The 22,615-nt window shown below is 49.3% G+C and overlaps 1 long non-coding RNA gene and 1 pseudogene across 4 annotated transcripts in view, besides 4 other annotated features; one reads left to right on the top strand and one right to left on the bottom strand.

Annotated features, from left to right (window-relative positions):
• MIPEPP3 (mitochondrial intermediate peptidase pseudogene 3) overlaps window positions 1-22,615 on the bottom strand; it is a 94,799-nt pseudogene that overhangs the window by 44,920 nt on the left and 27,264 nt on the right. Inside the window, exon 3 of one of the 2 annotated variants that reach the window (NR_038939.1) lies at window positions 15,933-17,281. The exons of the other annotated variant lie outside the window; for it this stretch is intronic. The product of NR_038939.1 is annotated as a mitochondrial intermediate peptidase pseudogene 3, transcript variant 1 (transcript). Of the gene's footprint in view, window positions 1-15,932; window positions 17,282-22,615 lie in introns of those variants that run through there. 2 annotated transcript variants of the gene reach the window in all.
• Window positions 1,204-1,407: a silencer, noted in NCBI's record as "fragment chr13:21920736-21920939 (GRCh37/hg19 assembly coordinates)". NCBI's record gives its function as "represses an EF-1alpha promoter that drives an FKBP-Casp9 reporter gene in an ReSE screen in K562 erythroleukemia cells {active_cell/tissue: K562}" and the evidence as "EXISTENCE:reporter gene assay evidence [ECO:0000049][PMID:32094911]".
• LINC00539 (long intergenic non-protein coding RNA 539) overlaps window positions 3,145-22,615 on the top strand; it is a 41,348-nt gene continuing 21,877 nt past the window's right edge. The window contains exons 1-2 of one of the 2 annotated variants that reach the window (NR_103841.1): window positions 3,145-3,338; window positions 17,346-17,430. This is a non-coding gene — a long non-coding RNA (long intergenic non-protein coding RNA 539). The remainder of the gene's footprint in view (window positions 3,339-17,345; window positions 17,431-22,615) is intronic. The other variant, NR_103840.1, reaches the window with a different exon arrangement.
• Window positions 5,293-5,796: an enhancer, noted in NCBI's record as "H3K4me1 hESC enhancer chr13:21916347-21916850 (GRCh37/hg19 assembly coordinates)". NCBI's record gives its function as "activates a minimal SCP1, AML or CMV promoter by ChIP-STARR-seq in naive H9 embryonic stem cells {active_cell/tissue: H9 hESC(naive)}" and the evidence as "EXISTENCE:reporter gene assay evidence [ECO:0000049][PMID:30033119]".
• Window positions 8,946-9,502: an enhancer, noted in NCBI's record as "H3K27ac-H3K4me1 hESC enhancer chr13:21912641-21913197 (GRCh37/hg19 assembly coordinates)". NCBI's record gives its function as "activates a minimal SCP1, AML or CMV promoter by ChIP-STARR-seq in naive H9 embryonic stem cells {active_cell/tissue: H9 hESC(naive)}" and the evidence as "EXISTENCE:reporter gene assay evidence [ECO:0000049][PMID:30033119]".
• Window positions 10,420-11,002: an enhancer, noted in NCBI's record as "H3K27ac-H3K4me1 hESC enhancer chr13:21911141-21911723 (GRCh37/hg19 assembly coordinates)". NCBI's record gives its function as "activates a minimal SCP1, AML or CMV promoter by ChIP-STARR-seq in primed H9 embryonic stem cells {active_cell/tissue: H9 hESC(primed)}" and the evidence as "EXISTENCE:reporter gene assay evidence [ECO:0000049][PMID:30033119]".

The raw sequence follows: 22,615 nt of genomic DNA, 5'->3' as shown, positions 1-22,615 counted from the left end.
CCACTCACTCAGGAAGAGGCTGCCTCCAGGTGGGGAGCTTGTATGTTTCCCTCTCCGGGCTGCAGCTGTGGCTTGGGAGGTGTCCTGTCTCTTTGGCGGCCTCATGAGGGCTGTGTCAGTCCTGATAAATGGCATAGGATGGGGAGTCCCCTTAATGGGGGACAGTACAGGTCTCCTGTCCATGGGGCTATTCCAGGCCAAAAATAGATTCTACCACTGCAGAATGATTATGCTGGCTCTACTGTGCTTTCTAAGTCATCAAAGGGACTCACAAACGGGTGAGTAGAACTGGGAGGACGCCAGAAGAGGGATGAAATAAAGATTGTGTATGTGTATGTTTCCTTTTGTGGAATTCTACCTGGAGCCATAGGAACGCGACTTACCACTCATGGGAAAGGCTGTGCCCAGAGCCAAGGAGGAGCTGTGGGGACGTCTCTCCCAAGTCATCCGTTCTCCCCATTTAGACTTCATCCTTAGGACGGACCTTCAGGCACCCAGGCTGCCTACTGACCTCCCTGGCATGGGTGGGAACCGGGAGCTCGTTGGTAAGCAGGAGGATTCAGGACTATCGACTGAACCCCACCTCCTCTGTGGCACGCACCGTGCTGTGTCTTTGCAGTCATCATCTCATCACCTCTGCACAGGAAGATTATCTCCCCCATTTTGTGATGAGGAAATGGAGGCTCCAGGTGGTAAGTCATTGCCCAGGCCACACTGCTCCTCAGAGGCAGAGATGAGATCAGAACCCACTTCTGTCTGACCCCAAAGCCTGTGCCAAATGCCTTGCTCAATGGCCTCTTGCAGGAAAGGGCAGTGTCCCATTACAGCCAGACCCTAGCATAGTACCAGGCTCTGCAGGCTCTGTATCACTTTCCCAAGGCCCAGAGGGGGCACACCACAAAATGCTGGGGGCGTAGGAAGAAGATATCAGAAATTCTAGTTGTGATTTCCTATTATCCTAGTAAAATATCAACTTTTATGTCATTTGTGATGCATTTATTAGCTCAGTAGCACATTTATAGAATTTATAAATCAATAAACCTTCGCATTGTGGAACACATGCTTAAGTTCATTTTACTGATATTGAAAATGAGGAAAAAGACTAGAGTCACATGTTCAAGACAGTGACCAGGGTCCACCCCAGGGCTCCTCGGGGGCCAGAAAGGACGGCTTGCCGAGGGGGCCTCCATCTTCCCTGCAGCATTGTTTGTTCCCCGGGATCCTTCCAGGCCTGCTCGACTCTCATCTCAGTCCCCTGTGCATTTCTGTAGGAAGCTCACTTTTACTAGACCTGAGAGGGCTGGTTGTGTGCTCTGCTGCTGTTTGCCGTCTGCGGGGGCTCTCCAGTGGTCCAGTGGGCATTACAGGAGCACAGGGAGGATGAGGGGAATGAAGCGGGGAGTGAAGGGCACACACACTTAGACCCCACCGGCCACCTACAGAAGGCCTGAGGGGACAGCCCTTTCTGAAGTGATGCCTTCCTCTGTTGGGAAGCCAGGAGCCTCCCCTGGTGGGATCCATGAGGCCCTGGGTGTGGGGCAGGATATGTGGGACGGGCACAGAGCCCCTTCCATTTCCTTCTCAGGCCAGAATCATAACTGTCCATGCATTCCTTAAAAGCAGAGAGGGACCCTCTCCTTCCCCATCCATCAACAGCCTTCGGAGTCTAATTACATGCACGGAGCTTCAGTTCCCTTCTCTGTAAAATGGGGCTAATACTAATAAGACCTCTTCAGGGCAGTGTAGGAAGTCAATGAAACTCCAACATCTCCAAAACCACCCAGCAGATCACAGGATCTTGAAGTAAGCACAGTGTTTGGCATACAGTAGGCGCTCATCAATGCTGGTTCCTTTCACTCTCTGCCACTTGCTGGCTATGTGTGACTTAACCTCCCAATGCCTCCGTTTCTTCATTTTGAAGTGAAAGATGATGCCTATCCTCAACTTCAGACGAGATCCGGCACGTTCAGGGTGGTATGGCCGTAGACCCCAACTTCAAAACAACAGGCACACCCATTCAATTCAGGTAGCACCCTCCAAATGTGCCATGGGCTTAAGAGGCAGGAAGAGAGCCTGGTATGAGCCCACGGCTTCGGCTCCTGTTGCTCACTCTCTGCAGATCCTTGTGCAGTTCTCTGGGGTCACTTGCTGGTCTTTTTGAGTTTCAGTTTTCTTATTTGTAAGCTGGGGATGGTCATATCTCATTAGATTTTTTGGAGGACTAAATGGGACAATAAATATAAAACGCTCAGTACAAAACTTAGTCTATGGTCAGTGTTCAACAAATACTAGTCACTGGTAATAGTAGAACCACCTGCATTATGACACTATTATTTCTAGGCTCTTATGAGGATTCTCATTTACCAGGCATACTAGCCCTGCAAAACGGACACTATTGCTTCCATTATACAGATGAGGAAACTGAGGCTCAGAGAAGCTAAGTAACTTCTTCAAGGTTGCCCAGGCTGGGCGCAGTGGCTCATGCCTGTAATCCCAGCACTTGGGAGGCCGAGGAGGGCAGATTACTTGAGGGGAGGAGTTTGAGGACAGCCTGGCCAACATGACAAAACCCCGTCAATAAAAAATATAAAAATCAGCCAGGCGTGGTGGCACATGCCCGTAGTCCCAGCTACTCAGGAGGCTGAGGCAGGAGAATCGCTTGAACCAGGGAGGCAGGACTTGAGCATGCCACTGCACTCCAGCCTGGGCAATAGAGCAAGACTCTGTCTCAAAAACAACAAAACAAAACCAAACCAAAAAAAGGTTGCCCGGTTGCCCAGTGACAGAGCCAAGTCTTGCTTTCCAAGCTTGGGCTCACTCTCCTACACTAACTACCTGGCCCCATGCTGCCCAGTCCTGGGCTAGCTGCAGGAGGCTGCCGCATTACCCACCTCAAGCCACACAAGCACTGGCAGTAACAAGAGGCCGTAGAGAACCTAGAGTTCTCCAGCGGATGTGGTTCTCTGGCTGCCGTGGGCTGCCAGGGATCCCTTAGATCGCGGACTCCACAGTTCTTTCTTGCCACCTCCAGAAGGAGGCTGCAGCCCCATGAGCCAGGCAGCAGGAAGGGAGGAAGTCTCGCTTCTTGCCAGACACATTGTTTAACTGCAACAGTCAGTCCTCCAAAAACTCTGCCGGAAGTCCACCCCAGAAACTCAAGGGAGGAAACTGACTGCCTTCTTGGGGTTTTCTTAACTGTGCTTTTTCTGCTCTGCAGGAAAGATGCAACCTGGGCCAGAGGCCCCTGGAGGTTGTGCCTGAACCCAGACAGATCACACAAACCTGAGCAGCCATTAGCCGCTGTGTGGGCTCCTTTGCACTGTGGGGCTGCTCCTGGGGTAAGTGTGTGTCTTTGTGTGTGTGTGGGGTTCGGGGGCTGGGATGGCTGACTTACAAAGGACACGCTGTGGCCCAGCCCTGGGCAGCATCCAGCCTGCTTAGGTGGCCTTCTGTGGGCTTGGCCAAAAACACTGAGGCCTTTCTCTGTTTCACCTTCTTGTGCCAACTTGGCTGTGTGTGAACAAAGAATCACAAGCACACACCTGAGTTCACACTTGTGTAAAATTGGACTGAAGAGCTTGGTGAATCAAAGTTCAAGAAGGGTGACTTGGCCGGGCATGGTGGCTCAGTCCTGTAATCCTAGCACTTTGGGAGGCTGAGGGGGAGCAGATCACTTGAACCCAGGAGTTCAAGACCAGCTTGGGCAACACAGAAAGACCCTGTCTCTACAAAAAAATTTAAAAATTAGCTAGGTGTAGTGAGGTGTGCCTATATTCCCAGCTACTCTGGAGGCTGAGGTGGGAGGACTGCTTGAGCCTGGGAGGTTGAGGCTGCAGTGAGCTGTGATCATTCCATTGCACTCCAGCTTGGGTGACAGAGTGGGACCCCATCTCTTAAATTTAAAAAAGAGAAAGGAGAAGGAGAAGGAGGAGAAGGAGAAGGAGGAGGAGAGGGAGAGGAGAAGAAGAAGGAAGAGGAGGAGGAGGCGGGGGGGAGGGGGAGGAGGAGAAGAAGGAGAAGGGAGGAGATGGAGAAGGAGGGCACCTCAGAAGCCCTCAATAAAAACAGGGAGGAAGAGAACAAACACATCAAAGCTGCTGAGTCTGGTGCCAAGAGCAGGGGACTTAAAAGCTGTGTGACTTTGTCATTTGAGTTAACCTCTCTGATCCTCAACTTCTTGTTTGTGAAGTAGGAATAAGATTTTTTTGTGAGTTTGTTCTGAGGCTCATTAGTAACGTACGTAAAGCTGTTGGCTCCTGGTCTCTCTTATCATTCAGGGTTAAGCTTCGAAGTGGGCACAGGTGCTGGCAGCTATGGAATGGTGGGGAGGTTGCAGGGTGGGTCCCCTGGTCACAGAGAGCTTCTCACTGCCAGGGCTCAGAAGCCCCCTCACTGAGAGGCCTCACTGCCAGGGTTCAGAGCTCCCTCACTGGAGAGGGACTTCTTGAGTGTTGCAAGCTACATGGACAGACCATCTATGAGATCAAGCGTCCAGGCCCCTGGGCCAAGCAAATCTTGGGCCAAGATTGTGTGGCTTTAGGGGACATTATGGAGCCTCTGAGGGCCTCAGCTCCTCCTCTGTGAACTGGGGACTGTGGTGGTGATAATGGTACCTACGCATACAGAGATTGACAAGTACTGCTGAAACACAGCTAGGGATGTCTGTCTCACATCAAAAGGCTTTCAAACAGCTGTTTTTAATAATAATAATTATTAATTATATTATAGTTATTAATATTTACTTATATTATTATATGTAATAATTATATATTAATTACATTATCATATTAATTATTAAAAATAGAATAATAATTATTATTAGCCCTGGGAGAAGGTTATCATGAATTTTTTTTGGAGGGAGGTCAGATGACAGCTTGTCAAGGTAACAGAGTGCAAGAGAAGAGCCTGCCTCGGTTGGGGGTGGTCAGGGCCTGGGCACCCCACGGAGACACAGGGGAGCCTAGGGGAGGACTGAGACCCCTTCTCTTGCTCAATCAACTTTTTCAAGTCAACAGTGACATGTGTGCCAGGCTCTGACCCCTGATCACAGCTTCCCCTGACAGGGGCCTCTGTGGGGATGTCTCACAAGGCCAGGGAGGACCTGGAAACACATCCCTCCCATAGGCTACATCCCATCGTCAAAAGGAGACCTCGGGGGACCCACCTGCTCCTCCTGCCTGCCCCTGCCCCCAGCCCAGAGAACCAAGCTGAGCCACCTGCCTGTGCTCCCAAAAAGACACCCCTTCTGTCCCAGCTTGATTTCCACAAAATTACCTGTGGGGCATGTGCTGGCCAGAGGCCAAGTGGGCTCATCTATCTGCCCAGGGCAGCATTTTAGAACAGGGAGTGGAAATAGTGTCCAGGTTGTAACGAGTTTTTGGAAGAGGGGAGGGGGTGGAGAACAGAGAAGGAGGGGGCCAGGGAGCGGGAGAGAGGAGTCACCCGAGGCTTCTCCTCTGCGGCGTTTAATGGGAAAATGAGATATTTCCTAGGCAATTGCTTTTAGGTGACTATTGAAATTAATGCCTCGTTCCAGCAGCACATCTTTGTTAGAACATTAGTCTCTCAGAGGGAGCAAGAAAATGAGAAGGGAAAACAAAACAAAAACAAATTACCTGAAATGAGCCCAGTAGAGAAGGCTGAGGACAGAGGACTTGGGACCATGGAGAGCTTGAGGGTGAACTGACTGTGGGATCATGCGAGGGGCCTAAGCGCTGAGGAGCCTTGGTGGCCTGGCGAGACTGTCCCGCCCAGGGGCTGCCCTCCTCTGCCACCTGGGGCTGGGGTATGGTTGCTGAGTGACAGGGCGACTTGGGGTCCACTGGACGGGTCCTGCCGAAGTCCCTGCTTGGCCTCTGGGCTCCCTGGCCTTCTGAGGTGACGGGGAGGCTCTGAGCCCACACGTGGTCTCTCACAGGCTTTGGGGCTGCATTCACAGTTTCTCAGTTTCCCTGACAGTGGGGGTTCACTGAGATGTTAGGGACCCCTGTAGTGATAATATCCGCTATGACTTATGAGCGCTCCCTACCTGTCAGCCACAGTCCCGGGAGGAGCAGCCTGGGTTCCTGCTGGGGAGAACCCCTTGAGCCAGCGTGAAGGCTGTGACCTTCCCAGGTCTTATGGGCGGGGATTCCTCAGAGAGACTCGTGCCTTGCTTCACTTGAGGCCTGAAAAAGCTCCTGTTTGTTCTTTGATTTGGGAGGGGGCGGGGGTTGCATTTTCCTTGTTTTTTGCTTTGTTTCCGTGCATGTATAGAATTGAGCCAAATGGAATAGATGCTTTAAACTCTGAATGCATTTTGCCATTGCTGTTTAAAAAGCTTGTTCTCGTTTAAATTCACGTCATCAGTGAATGAGAGTGTTTACCTCACAATATCCTCACCGGTTTTATATATCATGCTTTTCAAATTTGTGCCAATTTTAGAGTGGGAAAATGGTTGTGAATGTGAACTTATAAAGGAAATAATTGTTGGCTGTTGTGAAAAATGAATATTTGTGTTCATTTCCTAAAAACTAGAGTTGGATCCCTAAGAATACCCAACATTGTCAAACAACAGCAGGCGGGCCAGGTGCGGTGGCTCATGCCTGTAATCCCAGCACTTTGGGAGGCCGAGACAGACAGACCACTTGAGGTCAGGAGTTCGAGACCAGCCTGGCCAACACGGTGAAACCCCGTCTCTACTAAAATACCAAAATTAGCCAGGGGTGTTGGCGGGCGCCTGTGATCCCAGCTACTCAGGAGGCTGAGGAAGGAGAATCGCTTGAACCCAGGAGGCAGAGGTTGCAGTGAGCTGAGATGGCGCCACTGCACTCCAGCCTGGACAACAGAACAAGGCTCTGTCTCAAAACAAAACAAAAAAACAAAAAACAACAACAGCAGCCACCTGCTTCTTGAGCAGCCTTGAATGTCTGTTCTCCTGTAAGCTCTGGTGAGGAAAATCCTCTCGGAATTTGCTGCCGTCCTCCCCTCTAGGGCTGGGACATAGGATGAGTACTCCAGGCTGGATTTAATAGAGATGCAGTTGGATATCTGAAACATGGACTCCAGCCGGAGGCTAGCACACTCTGTCCTGCCTTGGAAACTCCAGAACTAGAGTTTGGGGGTGAAGTCAGCACAGTTGACACAGTTGTCAGGGGAGGGGGGTTGGTTGGCTGTGATTCTGGGCCACTGGGGACACTTGGGAAGGTTGGCTTTGCTATGCTGCAGTAGGAACTTCTTGGACACGCAGTCCCCAAGGTTTGGATATTCCCTTGCTGGGCTACATGCATCCAGGATGAGCTAAACCCTGGTCCCACCTGCTCTGACCATAGCCCTCTCTGGAGCCTCTTCCAAGCCTCAGTGCTACTGGGTGGAATTGAAGGAGAGACCCTTTTAGGCTTGAGGAAAAGGACAGTCACTGGATAGCCAGAGCTGTGGAAAATAGGGACAAGGCTTGGCCAGGCAAAGCCATCGATTCAGGAGAAGGCAGGAGAAGCTTGGGTCAGGTGGGGCTCCAGAGGGGCTTCTTGCCCCCAGAGGGGCCTTGGACTACAAGGTCCCAGAGCTCCCCTGATTCCAGGATTCTGCAAAAGAGTGAACCAAGAACAACCTAGAGCAAACGTCTCTGAATCAAAAAAGGGACAGCACCTCGGGGCACAGAGGTGGGCATAGAGGGAACAGGCTGTTACGCACCTGTGTGACCCCAGGCATGTCACTTAACCTCTCTGGGCCTAACTTCTTCACCTAGAAAATGACAGTTAGGGCAAACTCTGAGGAATGATTTTATTTTGGGATTTGTGCATGCAGCCAGGTCTATGTGAGCCATAAAGATAACTCTTCCCTCTCTGCATCTTCCAAACCTACCAAAGAACCGAGGCTGACAGAATAGAAACGGGGACGCTGAGGAGGTGGGACTGGAGGCGTCCTCCTTCCTTTCTTGGTATGGCCGGAGCTCCCTCTGCCTCCAGACAGGCCACTCCTTGGGCTTCCATTTGCACATCTTATCCCTTTGATGATAGAACATGCCCTACCTGCCCGCAGGTTTGACAAGGCAAACATTTGGTTCCGTTTATTGGGGTAGCTCAGGTCCACTGCTTCGTAGGTGTGATTTCACTCAGTCCTTCACACAAACCGTGAGGTTGACCTCATGTTCATCCCCACAACACAGATGAGAAAACCAAGGGTTAGAGGACAGGCAGTGAGGGGCAGGCAAAGCCAGGGGTCAGATCTGTTCTGGCTTCAGAGCCTCGACTCTGTCTCACAAATAGAATATTTTCTTCTAAAAGTCATAGCACTGTCTTTGGGGTGGGGTGGGGCCACGGATTTTCTTGTCGAAAAAGATCTAGAGCTCTCATATGGAAATGGGTCCACAGGGGCAAGGAGCCTGGCCAGGAGTTGGAACACTGATGGATGGATACTTTTGGAAGGTGCTGGGAATGGGCACGCTGTCAAAGTCACTGGCCACTGCTCTCACCTGTACATGGTATTGAGTACTGGTCCACGTACTCAGCCAGTTCCTTCACAAGTCTGCGAGAGTGGGCACATACCTGAAGAATGAGGATGGGGCGGGGAGGGTGAGGAGGGAAAATGGGAGCATAATGCAGGGTCCTACCTGGGGGACTGGATATTGATTGGGAGCTTCCCGGACAAGTGAGGCAGGTAAGACTAGGTGAGGGCTGGTGAAGACAGATGAGGCTAGGTGAGACTAGGTGGGGGCAGGTGAGAGCAGTGAGACTGGGTGAGGGCAGATGAGTCTAGGTGAGGGCAGCTGAGGGCATATGAAGCTAGGTGAGTCTGGGTGAGGGCAGGTGGGGCAGGTGAGAGCAGATGAGACTGGGTGAGGGCAGGTGAGGGCAGATGAGGCTAGGTGAGACTAGCTGAGGTCAGGTGAGGGCAAATGAGACTGGGTGAGGGCAGATGAGGCTAGGTGAGACTAGCTGAAGGCAGGTGAGGACAAATGAGACTGGGTGAGGGCAGGTGAGGTCAGGTGAGACTGAATGAGGGCAGATGAGGGCAGGTGAGGGCAGGTGAAGCCAGGTAAGGGCCTGGGCTTTACTGGGAGATGCAGAAAGGCAAGGACAACCCTGAAGAGCAAATGCAGACTTGCTGAGCCTGAGGACATCCAACCACATGCCTTCCCGGAGTCCCTCTGTTTCCTGCTCCAGCCTCATATGACGACCCTCCCCCCACCCGACCTGCCTCCACAGACACAAAGGTGTCATGTGACACTGGCTGAAGAGAAACCTGTGCTCTGTCCTGAAGAGAATCTTCACAGTGAAGGGACTAGAAAATAGAGTGAAGATGACCACCGAGGGGAGCAGGTACATGGGCCCTGCTTGGGGCTGATGGGAAGACAGGAGGGAACTACATGGGCTGCCAGCTCCAGAAGGACATGAGCCAGTATGTGACCCTGCTCTGACCACTCTGAATACTGCAAGTGTCCACAGAGGCTGCACTGTGGCTCCTTACAGATGTGACGCCTGCTGTCACTGCCTCAGTTGTTCCACATGCCAAGCATCCAGGAGAGACGACAGATTTTCTCAGGTTCCAATGATACACTGTAGCAAAGCAGAGAGATGAGCTGAACACCACTGCTGCTGTCAGAGATGCCAGGAGAAGCCAGCAATTTCTGCCCCTCCCCTGGAAGGACTTTGGGAGTCCTGACACCTGGTGGTAGTCAGCCACCGACCAGCGCAGCTCTTCAGGACACTACTAGAAAAGTGTCCCCTCGCCTCCCCGCTACTGCTGCCCAAACAGAAGCTGAGTTTCTGCTCTACTTTTCTGCAAGTGACCTTCTGCCAGCAACTAGGGTGTTCTATCCTTTAGAATTCTCATCCTTTCACAGATCTCTCCAGCCTTCCCTGTGGAAACAGATCAGCAGACACTCTTGAAACCACAACCTGTAGTCATCCATCCAGGGCTTAGAGGAATTCCTTGATTTCAAAGAAACCTGAAATGTCATGTGTGTGGGGCTGTTGCATTAGGAAGCCTGGATTCCCTTCATACTTCTACTTACACAGCTGTGTGACCTTGGACAAGTCACTTAACTTCTCTGGGCTTGTTTCCTCATTGATAAATGTACACCAACCAGATGACCTGGAAGGTTCTAGCCAAACTGAAACTCTGCGACTCTTGCTGAGATCATGCAGCAGTTTCTCTTCCCCAGGCCTAGGGAAGCAGATAGTGCAGAAATTTGTCACTGGAGGTTGGCTTAAACATAATGCAGGGTCCTACCTGGGGGACTGGATATGGATTGGGAGCTTCCTGGACAAGTGAGGCAGGTAAGACTAGGTGAGGGCAGGTGAAGACAGATGAGGCTAGGTGAGACTAGGTGGGGGCAGGTGAGGGCAATGAGACTGGGTGAGGGCAGATGAGTCTAGGTGAGGGCAGCTGAGGGCATATGAGGCTAGGTGAGACTGGGTGAGGGCAGGTGGGGCAGGTGAGAGCAGATGAGACTGGGTGAGGGCAGATGAGGCTAGGTGAGACTAGCTGAGGGCAGGTGAGGGCAAATGAGACTGGGTGAGGGCAGGTGAGGCAGGTGAGGGCAGGTGAGGCATTGGGGTCTGGGGACAGGTGACCCTGGGCACAGTGACTTATGTTCTTCCCACCCTCACCTATGACATGCCAATTTAGACACCACCTGTGAGGCTGTCCTTACTGATTTCCATGACAACAGCAGAGCACTGGGCACAGGACAAGCTTGCTACCCCTGGGTGTGGGGCTGAGCAGGCCTGGAAGAAACAAGGCTGCTGGGCTGAGCTTGGGGCCAGCCGCTCATTTCACCAAGCTGAGCTGTAATCACATCCCCAGGTAGCACTGTGCCTTCAGAATATGACTGAGCAGCATTATGTCTGCAGTGCTAAGCAGGTGTGATCAATAGATGGAGAGCTGTGACCAGCTGGGCTGTGATGCGGAGCCTGCAACCAAGCTGCCTGGGGGAAATTCAGGAGGCCAGCCATCGTCTTTAACCAGGGCAGCCCCGAGAGTGTCTGCAAGGGCTGCATGCCCTGAGTAGATCCTCGCAGATGCTGATCAGGGTGTCTTCTGGGCTCCACCTGGCACAGAAAAGCCAGCAAAGCTCCAGGGGCTTCCCTTCTTTCCTGGCAGAGAAAGAGCAGGCAGATTCAGAGCCCCGTGAGGCTGTCTTGAGCTCCACCGGGATCTAGGGAGAGCCAGCAGCACCACCAAGTGAGTCCTGATAGATTGTCTCAGGCTCTAGGATGGAGGAGGGGGCATCAGAGCTACACACTGCTGGCCAAGGACAGCAGCAGCCCAGGTGGTTACTTGCAGAAGAAAGGCAGCCACTTATGAACATTAAAATCGCAGGGGAGGCCTTCTCCAGGAAATGCTGGGCAGTATGTGTGCCAGTGGAGGCTGGCCGGCTCCTGGTGCCGACTCATCACTTCCCAGGGATGTGGCCCTTTGGGGAATGCCTCACAGTTTTCTCCTCAGTAAAATGGGCCTAGGTTACAGAGTGTGTGGGGGTGAACTGAGATGCTTCCCATGAGCTCCCAGGATGTAATAAATGCTCTCTTTATAAGGGACAGGGAACCTGCCTTAGAGATTTTTCCATGACTGTGTTAGAGGACTAAGGAATCCTTCTCTCCAGCCAAGCGCTGTGTTCCTTTGAAGAATCCTTTGGTCAGTTGGGCATTGAGAAAGGGGTGGCTTGGAGATGCAGGAAAATGTAAAATGTTCCCTGTCCTCTGGTTCTCAATTTGAGTGTGTGGACATGGAGCAATTAGAAATAACACTCCAAAATGCAGGATCCGATGTCATGCGTATACGAATTGTTCCCTAATGCTTAACTCAACTCCCTGTCCTTCCAGAATTAATAAACTAGTGAAAATAGTGGGAGGGACAATACTCAATCCATTTGAACATAGGTGCTGCATTTCACTCTGGACAGCAAATATGTTTCTAGAAAGTTCCACATGGCATGGGCATTTTGTAAATTGAATTACGTATTTAAAAAAAAAATGCTTTTTGTTGATCTATAATGCACGTGCCCAAAAGCGCACCAACTGAACACACCTATGTAACCAGTCTAGATCAAGAAACAGAACATTATCTAAACCCCTACATTTCCTCCAGTCATTTACCCCCTCAGGGTAACCACCAACGTGGCTTCTAAGAATATAGAATAATTTTGCCAGGTTTTACTTTGTTTAAAAGGATTCATATAGTTTATACTCTTTTGTGTCTATCTTCTTTGGCTTAACTTGGTGTTTGTAAATTTCATCCATGGTGTTCTATGTAGTTGTAAGTTTGTGCTCATTGCTGTAAAATATTCCATTGTGTCAATATATCACCATTTCTTGATATCCATCCTACTATTAATTAGCATTCATAGAACCACCAGTTTTATTCTATAACAAATAGTGCTGCTATGCATATCCTAGTACATGTGTTTTGGTGAACGTATATGTGCATTTCTGTTGGGCATATGCCTAAGAGTGGAGTCTTTGAGTCAAGGTTATGTGCATACTCAGTTGTACAGAAGTTGTACCAATTCAGCCTCTCGACAGCAGTGTGTAGGAGTTCCAGTTGCTCCACATCCTTGACAACACGTACTATTTCCTGTTTTCCATTTTTTTTTTTTTTTGAGACGGAGTCTCACTCTGTCACCCAGGCTGGAGTGCAGTGGCTCGATCTCAGCTCACCACAAGCTCCGCCTCCTGGGTTCATGCCATTCTCCTGCCTTAGCCTACCAAGTAGCTGGGACTACAGGTGCCTGCCACTACACCAGGCTAATTTTTTGTGTTTTTAGTAGAGACAGGTTTTCACCGTGTTAGCCAGGATGGTCTCCATCTCCTGACCTCGTGATCCACCTGCCTTGGCCTCCCAAAGTGCTGGGATTACAGGCGTGAGCCACCACGCCCAGCCCTGTTTTCCATTTTAACTATTATGGTGGGGGTCTATTGGTATTAGATTATGTCTTTAACTTGCAATAAGCATATTCTATGTTTATTGGCCATTTAAAGGTTAGATCCCCTAACCTTGTAAAGAAAATGCCTATCCAAATATTTTGTGCATTTTTCTATTTGAATATCAATCTTATTCTTGTTGATTTGTAAGAGTTCTAGGAAGACAATTCCTTTGAAATTGGAGAACTTTTTGTGATATGAATAATGTTTGGGTCTACGTTTAGAAATCTGAATACTGGATTTTCTTAGAAGCAGGTCACTGTATACATACTTAAGAATTTCAACAGCGAGGTAAATCTAAGCATGGGGAAAATCAGCCTCAAATGTTCCCAGATAGAAAGCTTCCTCTCGAAAGATGAGAAGATTACTGCTTTTTCCTCCAGTTTATTTCATGGTGGTGTGGCAAATGGGGATGGGCAAGGTCATTCCATATGGTGTGCTGGAACAAGGACAGTGAATTAAGTGGCTGGTGGACAACGAGGAAAGAGATAAATGGGCCAACCAAAAAAGCACCTACAGTTCCGCGACTGGGCTTGATTCCCAACTGGGCACATCAATGTGCTCAACAGCACGAGTGGGATGAAATTTCATCTGATAGGGGATTGCTGACAAATAACAAATGAGTGGCAGGGGATTTACAAGTTAGATAAGCAAGTATCTAGAGAATCATTGTTAGCTCAGCTAAGAAAAATGCCTTTGCTTAATTTGGGGACCGTCGTAAAAGCCAAAACATGGAACAAAAGTATCTCTGGAAGCCACCCAGAAGAGTGCAGATGTGCTACCAGGCATACTTTAGGACTTCTCTGTTATCCTAGGTGTGAGGCACAAGGACTAGCCCTCAAATCCTAAGTCCACGTTTCAGAGAGTGGCCCAGCCACCAGCTGTGGTCTGTCACCTACCCTGCCATATGCAGCCCTTTGGTGCTACTATTAAAGGAATTTCCCTTTAATTTCCATTTTACACGATGTAATATAGCAATATAAACATAATTATCCTTAGTGAAATTAAAATGAAACCAAGGAAAAGTATTCTTGGCTTTCATTCATTCAATAAACTTAAGCACCTAATATATGCCAGGTATCATGCTAGAAGACAGATAAATAGCACAAGTTCTTCCCCTCAGGGAGCTCACAGTATTGTGGGAGAAATGAAGAAGTAAATAGTTAATTTTAAGATAATGTAGTGGCTGTGAGATGGAAGTTTTCAGGGTGTTAACAGGGATGGGGGACCTAACCAGTGGCTGAGGAGGAAGACAGGCAGGGGTGAGAAGTATTGGGAAAGGCTTCCAGAAAGAGTTAATGCCTTCAAGTCTATTTCTTCCTATCATCCGTGAGGGGGATATGTGGGAGAAAAGTTAGGAATTCACAAACCCCACCATGCATCCGATGAGAAGGAAAAAATTTTCCTTCCAATTTTCTATGCGATGCTATTATTCCTAGGGTCCTCATGACTTATATTAGTGAACATTTTTTTGCCTCTCATTTTGAACATGAATTCAATGAAAGTTAATTAAAATGATGTAAAATGTGACCTTGTGTGAATTAATTAATGTTAGTAAAAATGAGCCTTTTTCCCCCTTTTTTTTTTTCAATTACTCACATATGGAAACCCAAGAAAACATTTGCCATCACTTGACTAAGCACTGTCAGGACTCATGGTTTTCAACATCTTTCTCCTGCTTACAACCATAAGAACAGGCAGGTGGCCAATGAGGGGAGGAGGGTAAAAGCGAGAATTTGTTACGCTGGAATTCAGCAGAGCCTCTCTCTAACATGTGGGGTTTAAGATTAGTGGAATCATGAGTAAGAGAAGTGGGAAAGAGTATAAACTAAGAATCTACTTAGAAAGCTGACTGAGCCACTAAGAAAGGGGTTGTGGTAGTCAGAAACTCTTTCTCTGCTCTTCTCAAAGAACATGGAACAAAATATCAGTTGAGTCATTTGGAATGCATTTGGCTGCAAGTAATAGAAACCCTAATTCATCATAATTGGAACAATTAGATGGTTTGTTATCTCACATAAGAAGAAGTCCGGGGGGATGGCAGTTCCAGGGTTGATTAATTCACCAGCTCACCAGTGTCTTAAAGATCCAGGTTATTTCGATGTTTCTACCCTGCCATCCCCAGTGTTCTGGTTTATCCTCATAGGCTGCTGTCTTAATGGACCCAAGGTGCTTTGGTTCCAGGAACAACACACAGAGCCCAAGTCCAGAGGCAGAAAAGCAAACATTTTTATCTTGTGGCTTTTTCTTTTTTTTTCCAAGAGAAACCTTCCCAGAAGCCCCATCAGCAGATTTCCTTTTTTAGCTCCATTGGCCCAATTGCGTCACATGCCTGAACCAATTGTTTAGCAGGGGAAATCACTCCGTCCTCTCTAGCTTCAACCATGAACTCTCAGTCCTGGGTAAGAGGGCAGCCTAGCCTTCCCTAAAGGACTTGGTAACTTGGAATAAGATGAACAAAATCAGAGTTCTATGAACAACGAAGTTGGGGGATGGCAGAGGGGACAGCGACTAACACGTCCATGTTAAACAAGAGTTCTCTGCTTTCTCTTCTTGAACTTGAGGGGCACAGCCTTGGGGATTTGGGGGATGCCCCTTTGATCATCTCATTTCTTCTCCTTGGTAGCAAGTAATTGATAGAATCACACCAGAAAAAAGAGCAAAATATGACAAAGAAACAACTTTAATACAGTGAGGATACTGGGGAACAGACCAGATGTGAGCAGACAGGGAAGTCTTTAGCAAAACTGTGGAGTGCCCAAAGCTTGGCTTCTGATGCGTGGAGCCTTTCCGTTTTGTGTTCTTCCTCCTCACTCCACATCCCACCCAAGAAACCTGGTATTTTAATATTCTCCTCTTTGCTCCATTAAAGCATCAAACATATTCACACAAGGTTTACGTGACCAAGGAGTGCAAGATAGGGATTAAAAAATAGACTTGAAATACCAGCTCTGCCATCTGCTAACTTTCTGACCATTTTGGGCCTCAAGTTCCTCACCAACAAAGTGAGAATAATGATACTACCCAGCAGGTTGTTACCGCTATGTTTATTAGTGTTCATCCTATTGGAGCAAGCTGACTGCTAACAACTTTAAAATCATGATGGCTTAACACAAGTTTGTTTCTCACTAACACAGAGTCTAGTGTCGATGGTCCTGATCGGGTGGCTTTCTGGTGACCTGAGGACTCAAGGATACTGCCCTTGCATTTTAAGGTGCCACTGTCTTCAACACAGGATCTTTAGGTTTTCGTTTGAAAGTTGTGGCTGCTTTAACTTGGCTTGGAAGCATTTCGTTGTTGAGAACTAGGACCCGAGATCCAGGGTGGGAGCTGGAATAGAAAACTTTGCTATGTGCCCAGGTAGAGATGTGATGAGCATCAAGCTAGTCTCTGCCACATTATTATTATGGCTGTTGCTGTTATTGTAACTAATCCTGTGTATTGAAACGGCAGTCATTTTCCAGATGTAACTACGGACCCTAACAGTTCACTGATGTTCATGGCCATAATTCCAGGAAGCCATTTCTGAGAGCTTATGTACCTTAAATCCCAGTTTGAGGTGTCTAGGGAAGAGACAATAGTCCATTAAGGATGACAGCAGGGAAGTCTAGTAACTTCTCTCCTCTCCACGATACTTAGCATGGTGTTGGACACAGCAGGTGCTGACCCAGTGACTGTGGCACTTACTCATGGTGGATGCACTACTCTATTTCCTTGGGTCCCTTTCCCATTTTCACACCCCTTGGCTCCACGTTTGCTTTTACTCTCGGTATCCAGAACCCATGCTTCTTTGTGAGAGGGCTGCCCTCATGCTTCTGGAGTCTCCTTTACCTGTGTGCAGAGAGAGTGGGGGATACCTAGAAACATGCATCCCTCTGAGATGGCCCTTGACCAATGGAGGGAGGGGCTCTCAGTCTCCAAATCTCCTCTGTGGGAGGAGCCAGTGCCCTGCAAGCACGGGACCTTGCTTGACATTGCACTCTTGCTTGGCTTCCTTCTCACTGTCTTGCATCCTCACTTCCCTGCAGGGGACACTGCCCAACACATCACTTTCTCACAAATCTGCATCTCTGGGATGCTTCTGGGGAACCAGCCTGAGACAGGAGGTAAGCTGAAGAAGCAGAATTTTGAAGATTCTGGGCTCTGTTTGAATGGAATAGCTGAGACGGGTCTTTGAGAACATCAGTATTTGCCTCCCACCTCAGTTTTTACATTCACAAATTAAAGGATCACACAGGCAGACTTTGGTATGATATGCAGTTCCTGAGCAGTGTTGGGACTCAAAGACGTTTATGGCAGCTCATCAGCCTGCATCCAGTGCTTCAAAGGGTTCTAAGAGACTGGCTCAGCCAACTGCCAGCCTGGTCATTTCGAAACTGAAATGAAAGCAGCAGAGAGAGTTATATTTATCAACTGAGTGAGACTTGCTTTTCTCAACAGGATATTTACGTTGTGAACTGGTAAAATCTGAACTGCAGAATATCAATTTCCAGACATTCTTCCTAGATGATGCCGTCTGCCACGGGTGAGTGTTTTCAGCTTTATGCTGACTATGTATTAATATAAAGCCATTCCTTACTCTTCTACCTTAATATATAGTCTCCTTGGTTTTAATTAGGTCTCTCCTTGCTTCTGAACTTCTGGTTTTCCCCAGTAATGTTTAGGAATGACCTCAGACCAGGTACATACAAGGTACAACGTGGTATGTACAAGGCTGTACCTCAAGCCACGTGAGAGGCTACCTTGGCCTTGGGCACTATGGTGAACACTGTAAAGTGCCACGTAGATCCCCTCAATAAGGACTTGCAGTCCCAGTGGTGCAGAGTGCTGCTGGCACACAGAGGTTGCCTGGGCTGCAGAGAGCAGCCTTACTGATGTCACACCCCTGCCCATGGCACCCAAATCTAACAACTGATTGATGTGGACACATAAAGATCTGGCCATCTCAGACCAACTTAAAACAACTCTGAAGGGCCATTTGAGCTTCCAAGCCCTGCACCTGTGGGACTGACCAAGGCTCTCTTTGACCTTGGCTCAATTTCTGTTTCTGCATACTGCTTCCTCCTCTTTACACAGGTGTTGACCCCTTAATAGGCATTCTACACAAAAAACTCCATCTTAGAGTCTGCTTTCAAGGGAACCCAACTTGTAACAGTCACATTTCCCTCCCTCACCAGCCAGACTCTCCCTGAAGACATCAGGGAGGAATAAGTAGAGTGGTCCTTCAGTGCTGGATGCAGCTTGGCTCTTGCTTTCAAACCCTCTGGGTGTCTGGTAAGGATAGGATAAGGAGAAAGAAGGGTGCAGTTTGAGGATTGTATGATGGCAGGGCTACCTCATTTTGATGCAGGGAAAGGGGTAAAGAGGCCTTCGCAGTCTCTGCAGGGGCCCTGCATTATAATCCCTGAGCATCTTTAACCGGGGCAGCTCTGTGTTCATTCCAGACATCGTCCCTGAGGGCTCCTTCTCCCTCATCCTCACACTCAAATGCTGAAGAGGTTAGCAAGTCCTGCTGACTCTTCAAACTGTATTCTGAATCCATCTACTCTTCTCCCTTTCCTCTGCCTCCACCCTAGCCAAAGCCACGACCATCTCTTACCTGGCTAAAGTGTGTCTTACCTCCTTGCAATTCATTCTCCTCACTATAGCCAGAAAGATTTTTGAATACTGATATTTTTCACTCCCAGGAATTTCACTGTTTCTTTTCATAATTGCCAGCTCTTGATTGTAATGATCTCCTCTCATTTGACATATAGATACCCACCCACATCTCTCCAAAATACGAAGTATACAGATTATAAGTTTCTGTTCTGATTTGACTATTAGCTCGGTTTCCTCAGTTATAAGTTTTTTCTTTTGTGGAGTCTGGTGATGCTCTTGTATGGAGTTTAGCATCTTCAAATGGTTGATGTATTTAGATTGTGTGTAAAGCTCTGTGCTTTCTGCTTGTTGTTGAAATGCAGCCTGGTTTCCTGCAGGTCCCTTGGGGTGTGGGTGGGAGCTGATGCCTTGGCTTGCATTGTGGGGAAGCTCAGCACAGACCACAAGGCAGGGGCTCACTGTCCCACCTGCGTGTAGAGGCTGCCTCTTCCTCCTGGGTGTCATCAGCCATCCAAAGCTCTGACCTGGTCTCCACCCCAGATTTCACACTGACAGGTACTGCTGGGTGCAGAAGCATCACTTCCTGACCTGGAAATCGTTCCTAATAATGCAACCGAAAGGCCATCCCACATTTTTTTCCTTCACGACACTGACCATAATGAAGAGTTAGTAAATATTTACTCATTTATGGCTGTATTTGCCCACTAAAGCAAGCTCTATGAAGGCAGAGATAAAGTCTGTTTGGGTTACCACCAGGTACCCAGTTCTCGACACTGCATTTGACACACACTTATTTCAAGAAATCGTTATTGAATAATGTGTTGTTTAGGCTTCCATAACACCTTTCATTTAAAGAAAGGGTTCTTAGCTCAACACAGTTTGAAATCAACCACGAGAGAGGACACCTTATCAAAGAAGGAGCAAAGGACCTTGTGCTTCTGTGTAGGTTCTGTGGGGAAAGGTACCTGGTGAGGTCTGCTGCACAGGCCCCTTGTCCAGAGGGAGCTGCAGTCCTGCCGCTGTCCTAGGCTGACTTCACCTTCCCGAGAGCAGGGAGCTCATTTTCCTCTGAACTCGCAGACTGCTGCCTGCAGAGAGGCGGAGCCTGCAGAAACTGCTGCAGGGCCATTATGGGGCATTCCAGGAGACGATTACATTAGCTGCTGGGTCCTGGGGGGCTCAGCAGGCAGGAGGTAGAAGGAAGGAGGGAGGAAGGGCTTCAGCCTGCACCGCTTTTGAGTTATCCTGAGGTGCCAGCACCCCCAACCCCTCATCAGCACCACTGCCATCTGCACCCACCTGCCCACTGCTCTTCGCAGTGGTTGCCAGCAGTTGGTAAGGGACCTTCCAGAAAAAGAGAGTGTTCATGCCACTTGAGGAAGAGGGGGCTGTAGAGATCACAGCTTCTCTCCGCACCTCATTCTATAGCTAAGGGAGCTGGCCCAGAGCACAGATGACTGGCCCAACGTCACACAGGCAGTAATAAGTGGGGCTAGGGCCAGGATGCAAAGTTACTGATCCCCAGGGCACTGGGACTGCAGCAGACTGCCCTCTCCTTCTCTCTCTTTTCCTCCTGTTTCATCCCCTTTCACCTTGTCTGCTTCATCTTGTTCCCAGCCTCTTACCACTTCAGCCCTGTGCCACCACTACAAAGACACTACCGCACCACTGACACCCCAGGCTCCTGGGCCACTACCATGCATTTTGCCTACTCCTGCTTGGGGCTGAGGGGCTTGCTGGCCTCTGACCAAAGCTCTCTCTATGGTTTCAAGCAGAATCTGGGAGCTGCAGTATTAATAGCAGGGAGGGCCTGCACCAGCCCAGGATTCCCACGCCTCTCCAGGAGCACTGGTGATTCATTTTACTCCCAGGCTCGCTCTTATCCCAGGAGAACAAGAGCCTGATTCCCAGATTCCAGATCCGATTCCCTGAGATGAGAATATTCCTGAAGCCCCTGGACTGTGCATGGCTTTCATTTGACAATCTCGAACACATACCTTTGTCTTTATCCTCTCTGATCGCCTTCTGCCACAGCTCCTCCTGCTTGCCCACCTCCCCCAAACAAGATCATTCCCTTGAGTCACTCTCATATCTGACATTACGCCTCGACTCTTGTACCCAGCACACTGTATTGCAATGACCTGCTTCTTTCTCTGTTTCTTAGTCCTTTCAGGGAGCACCTTCAGTGCAGAATATGTCTCCAGCACCTAAAGAGCTGGCGCTGAGAAGGTCCTCAATCATTGTCGGTTGCAGGGGATCTGGCCACCTGGGATCCAGCTCTGTGGTGCAAATGGGAGGAAGGGAGGCAGAGCCAGGTTTCCCATCCCCAAACCGCCCAACCCCACCTCCCACCTCCCACCCTCAGTTGGAGCCTAAGGTGACAAGGGGCTGCTGCTCCTACCTTGCTATGTTACAATTTTCTAACTAACCAGAGCCTGTCCCCTCAGATGAATGTGTGGGAGGGAGAATAGCCCGAGTGAGGAGGCCCTCCCAGCATTCCTGACCAGCTGGGGATCCTGGCGGGACGGATCCTCCACAGGAGCGTTTTTCTAGGGTGTGTTCTATGGAACGCTGGACCTGTGATGTGCTCCGGGAATAAAAGGTTCAGAGGTTGCTTTTGGGAAATGCCGCTTCCTACAAACCTGTCTGTCCCTGTTGTAGCTTCACGGTACACCCTGCAGCACGAAATGTGAATTGTAAAACAGTAAAAACAAAACATTAACAGCGGGGGACATTCCTCTGCTGACCCCAAAGTTCAGCAGGTGCGGGACAGGGGAGGGGCGGGCTCTCTTGTCTGCATCAGGCTTGGGGAGCCATCTCCGCCTCGGGGCTCGCAGACAGGGCTTCTCTGCCAAAGCAGCACCTCGGGGCGTGTTCTCCCACCCATCTGTGTTCAGGCATCCCTTCCCTCGCATCTGGATTTTGTTTAGGCCTATTTGCAATTCCTTAAAAAAAATCTAAGAAATAGTTGGAGCCTGAAAGAGAGCTGGCCAATGAAACGCCCCGTTGGGGCATTACCGCATCGGTGAGTGGCTGCCCTGAGGCGATGGCTGCGTTTCCGGGGCACCGCCGTGCGCCGGTGCCCACGCGTACCAGGCTTCAGGGGAGCACTCGGGAAGCGCGGGGGGTCGCGTGCCCTTGGCCGGAGGCCTGGTCGCCCGCTGGCCTCGCCATTCTCGGCTCCGCTGCTGTTGCCTGCGCGCCTGTGGCGGAGCAAGCCTGCCTCCAGGGCAGCCTCACTGCCGGGATCCTGGGCAGACCTCCCACGTGATAACCGTGATCACGGTGTTGATGCTCACTCTGGGGCAAGGGTGCTCACGTGTTCTCGTAATTGGGCGGAGTAGCCCTTCCTTCAAAGTCAGCCCCGGTCCCCTTGCACTGTGCAGCCCCTCTCTGCCGGACCCTGCCCGCATTAAATCTCCCCTTAACCTCTAAAATGCTCATTGCCAGCGCCCTTCGTTTGGTATTTGTAGCAGATACTGTCTCCTGCTGTAGCGCCATGTCTGTTCCCCCTTTCTACCATGATATAAAACCTCCTGATTTTTAGCTGGGCGCATGGTTCTGGAATCATGACTATGTTCCCAATTCCCTTGCAACTAGATGTGACTAAGTTCTGGCCAATGGGATGGTCATGTTCTACTTCCAGGAAGTGTCCCTAAAATAAGGGAATATGTCTTTTTAGGTCCCTTCCTCTCTCCAGCTGTCTGGAATGGAGCTACCATGTCTGGTGCCCAAGCAGCCAGCTCTGACCCAGAGTTAACATATTATGGATTGTGGAGCCACAGGATGGAGTAGCCTGGGTCTGATGGTTCTGTTAGTCAAGGCTAGTCAAAGAAGCAGGACCAACAGGAAATACATATGTTTATGTATGTATATGTTATGTATATGCTATGTATACACATACACACACACACAGATACACAGAGAGAGAGAGAGTTAAGAAAGTGGATCATGTGATTGTGGGGCTGGCAAGTTCAAAATCTGCAGACCCACAGAAGAGCTGATGTTGCAGCTCAAGTCTGAAGGCAATTTGGAGGCAGAATTCCCACTTCTTCAGGGGACCTCAGTCTTTTCTCTTAAAGCCTTTTACTGATTGAATGAGGCCCACC

This window comes from Homo sapiens, chromosome 13 (genome assembly GCF_000001405.40).
Source record: "Homo sapiens chromosome 13, GRCh38.p14 Primary Assembly".
In the NCBI taxonomy this organism is placed as follows: domain Eukaryota; kingdom Metazoa; phylum Chordata; class Mammalia; order Primates; family Hominidae; genus Homo; species Homo sapiens.
This window is presented reverse-complemented; position numbering and strand designations above follow the sequence as displayed.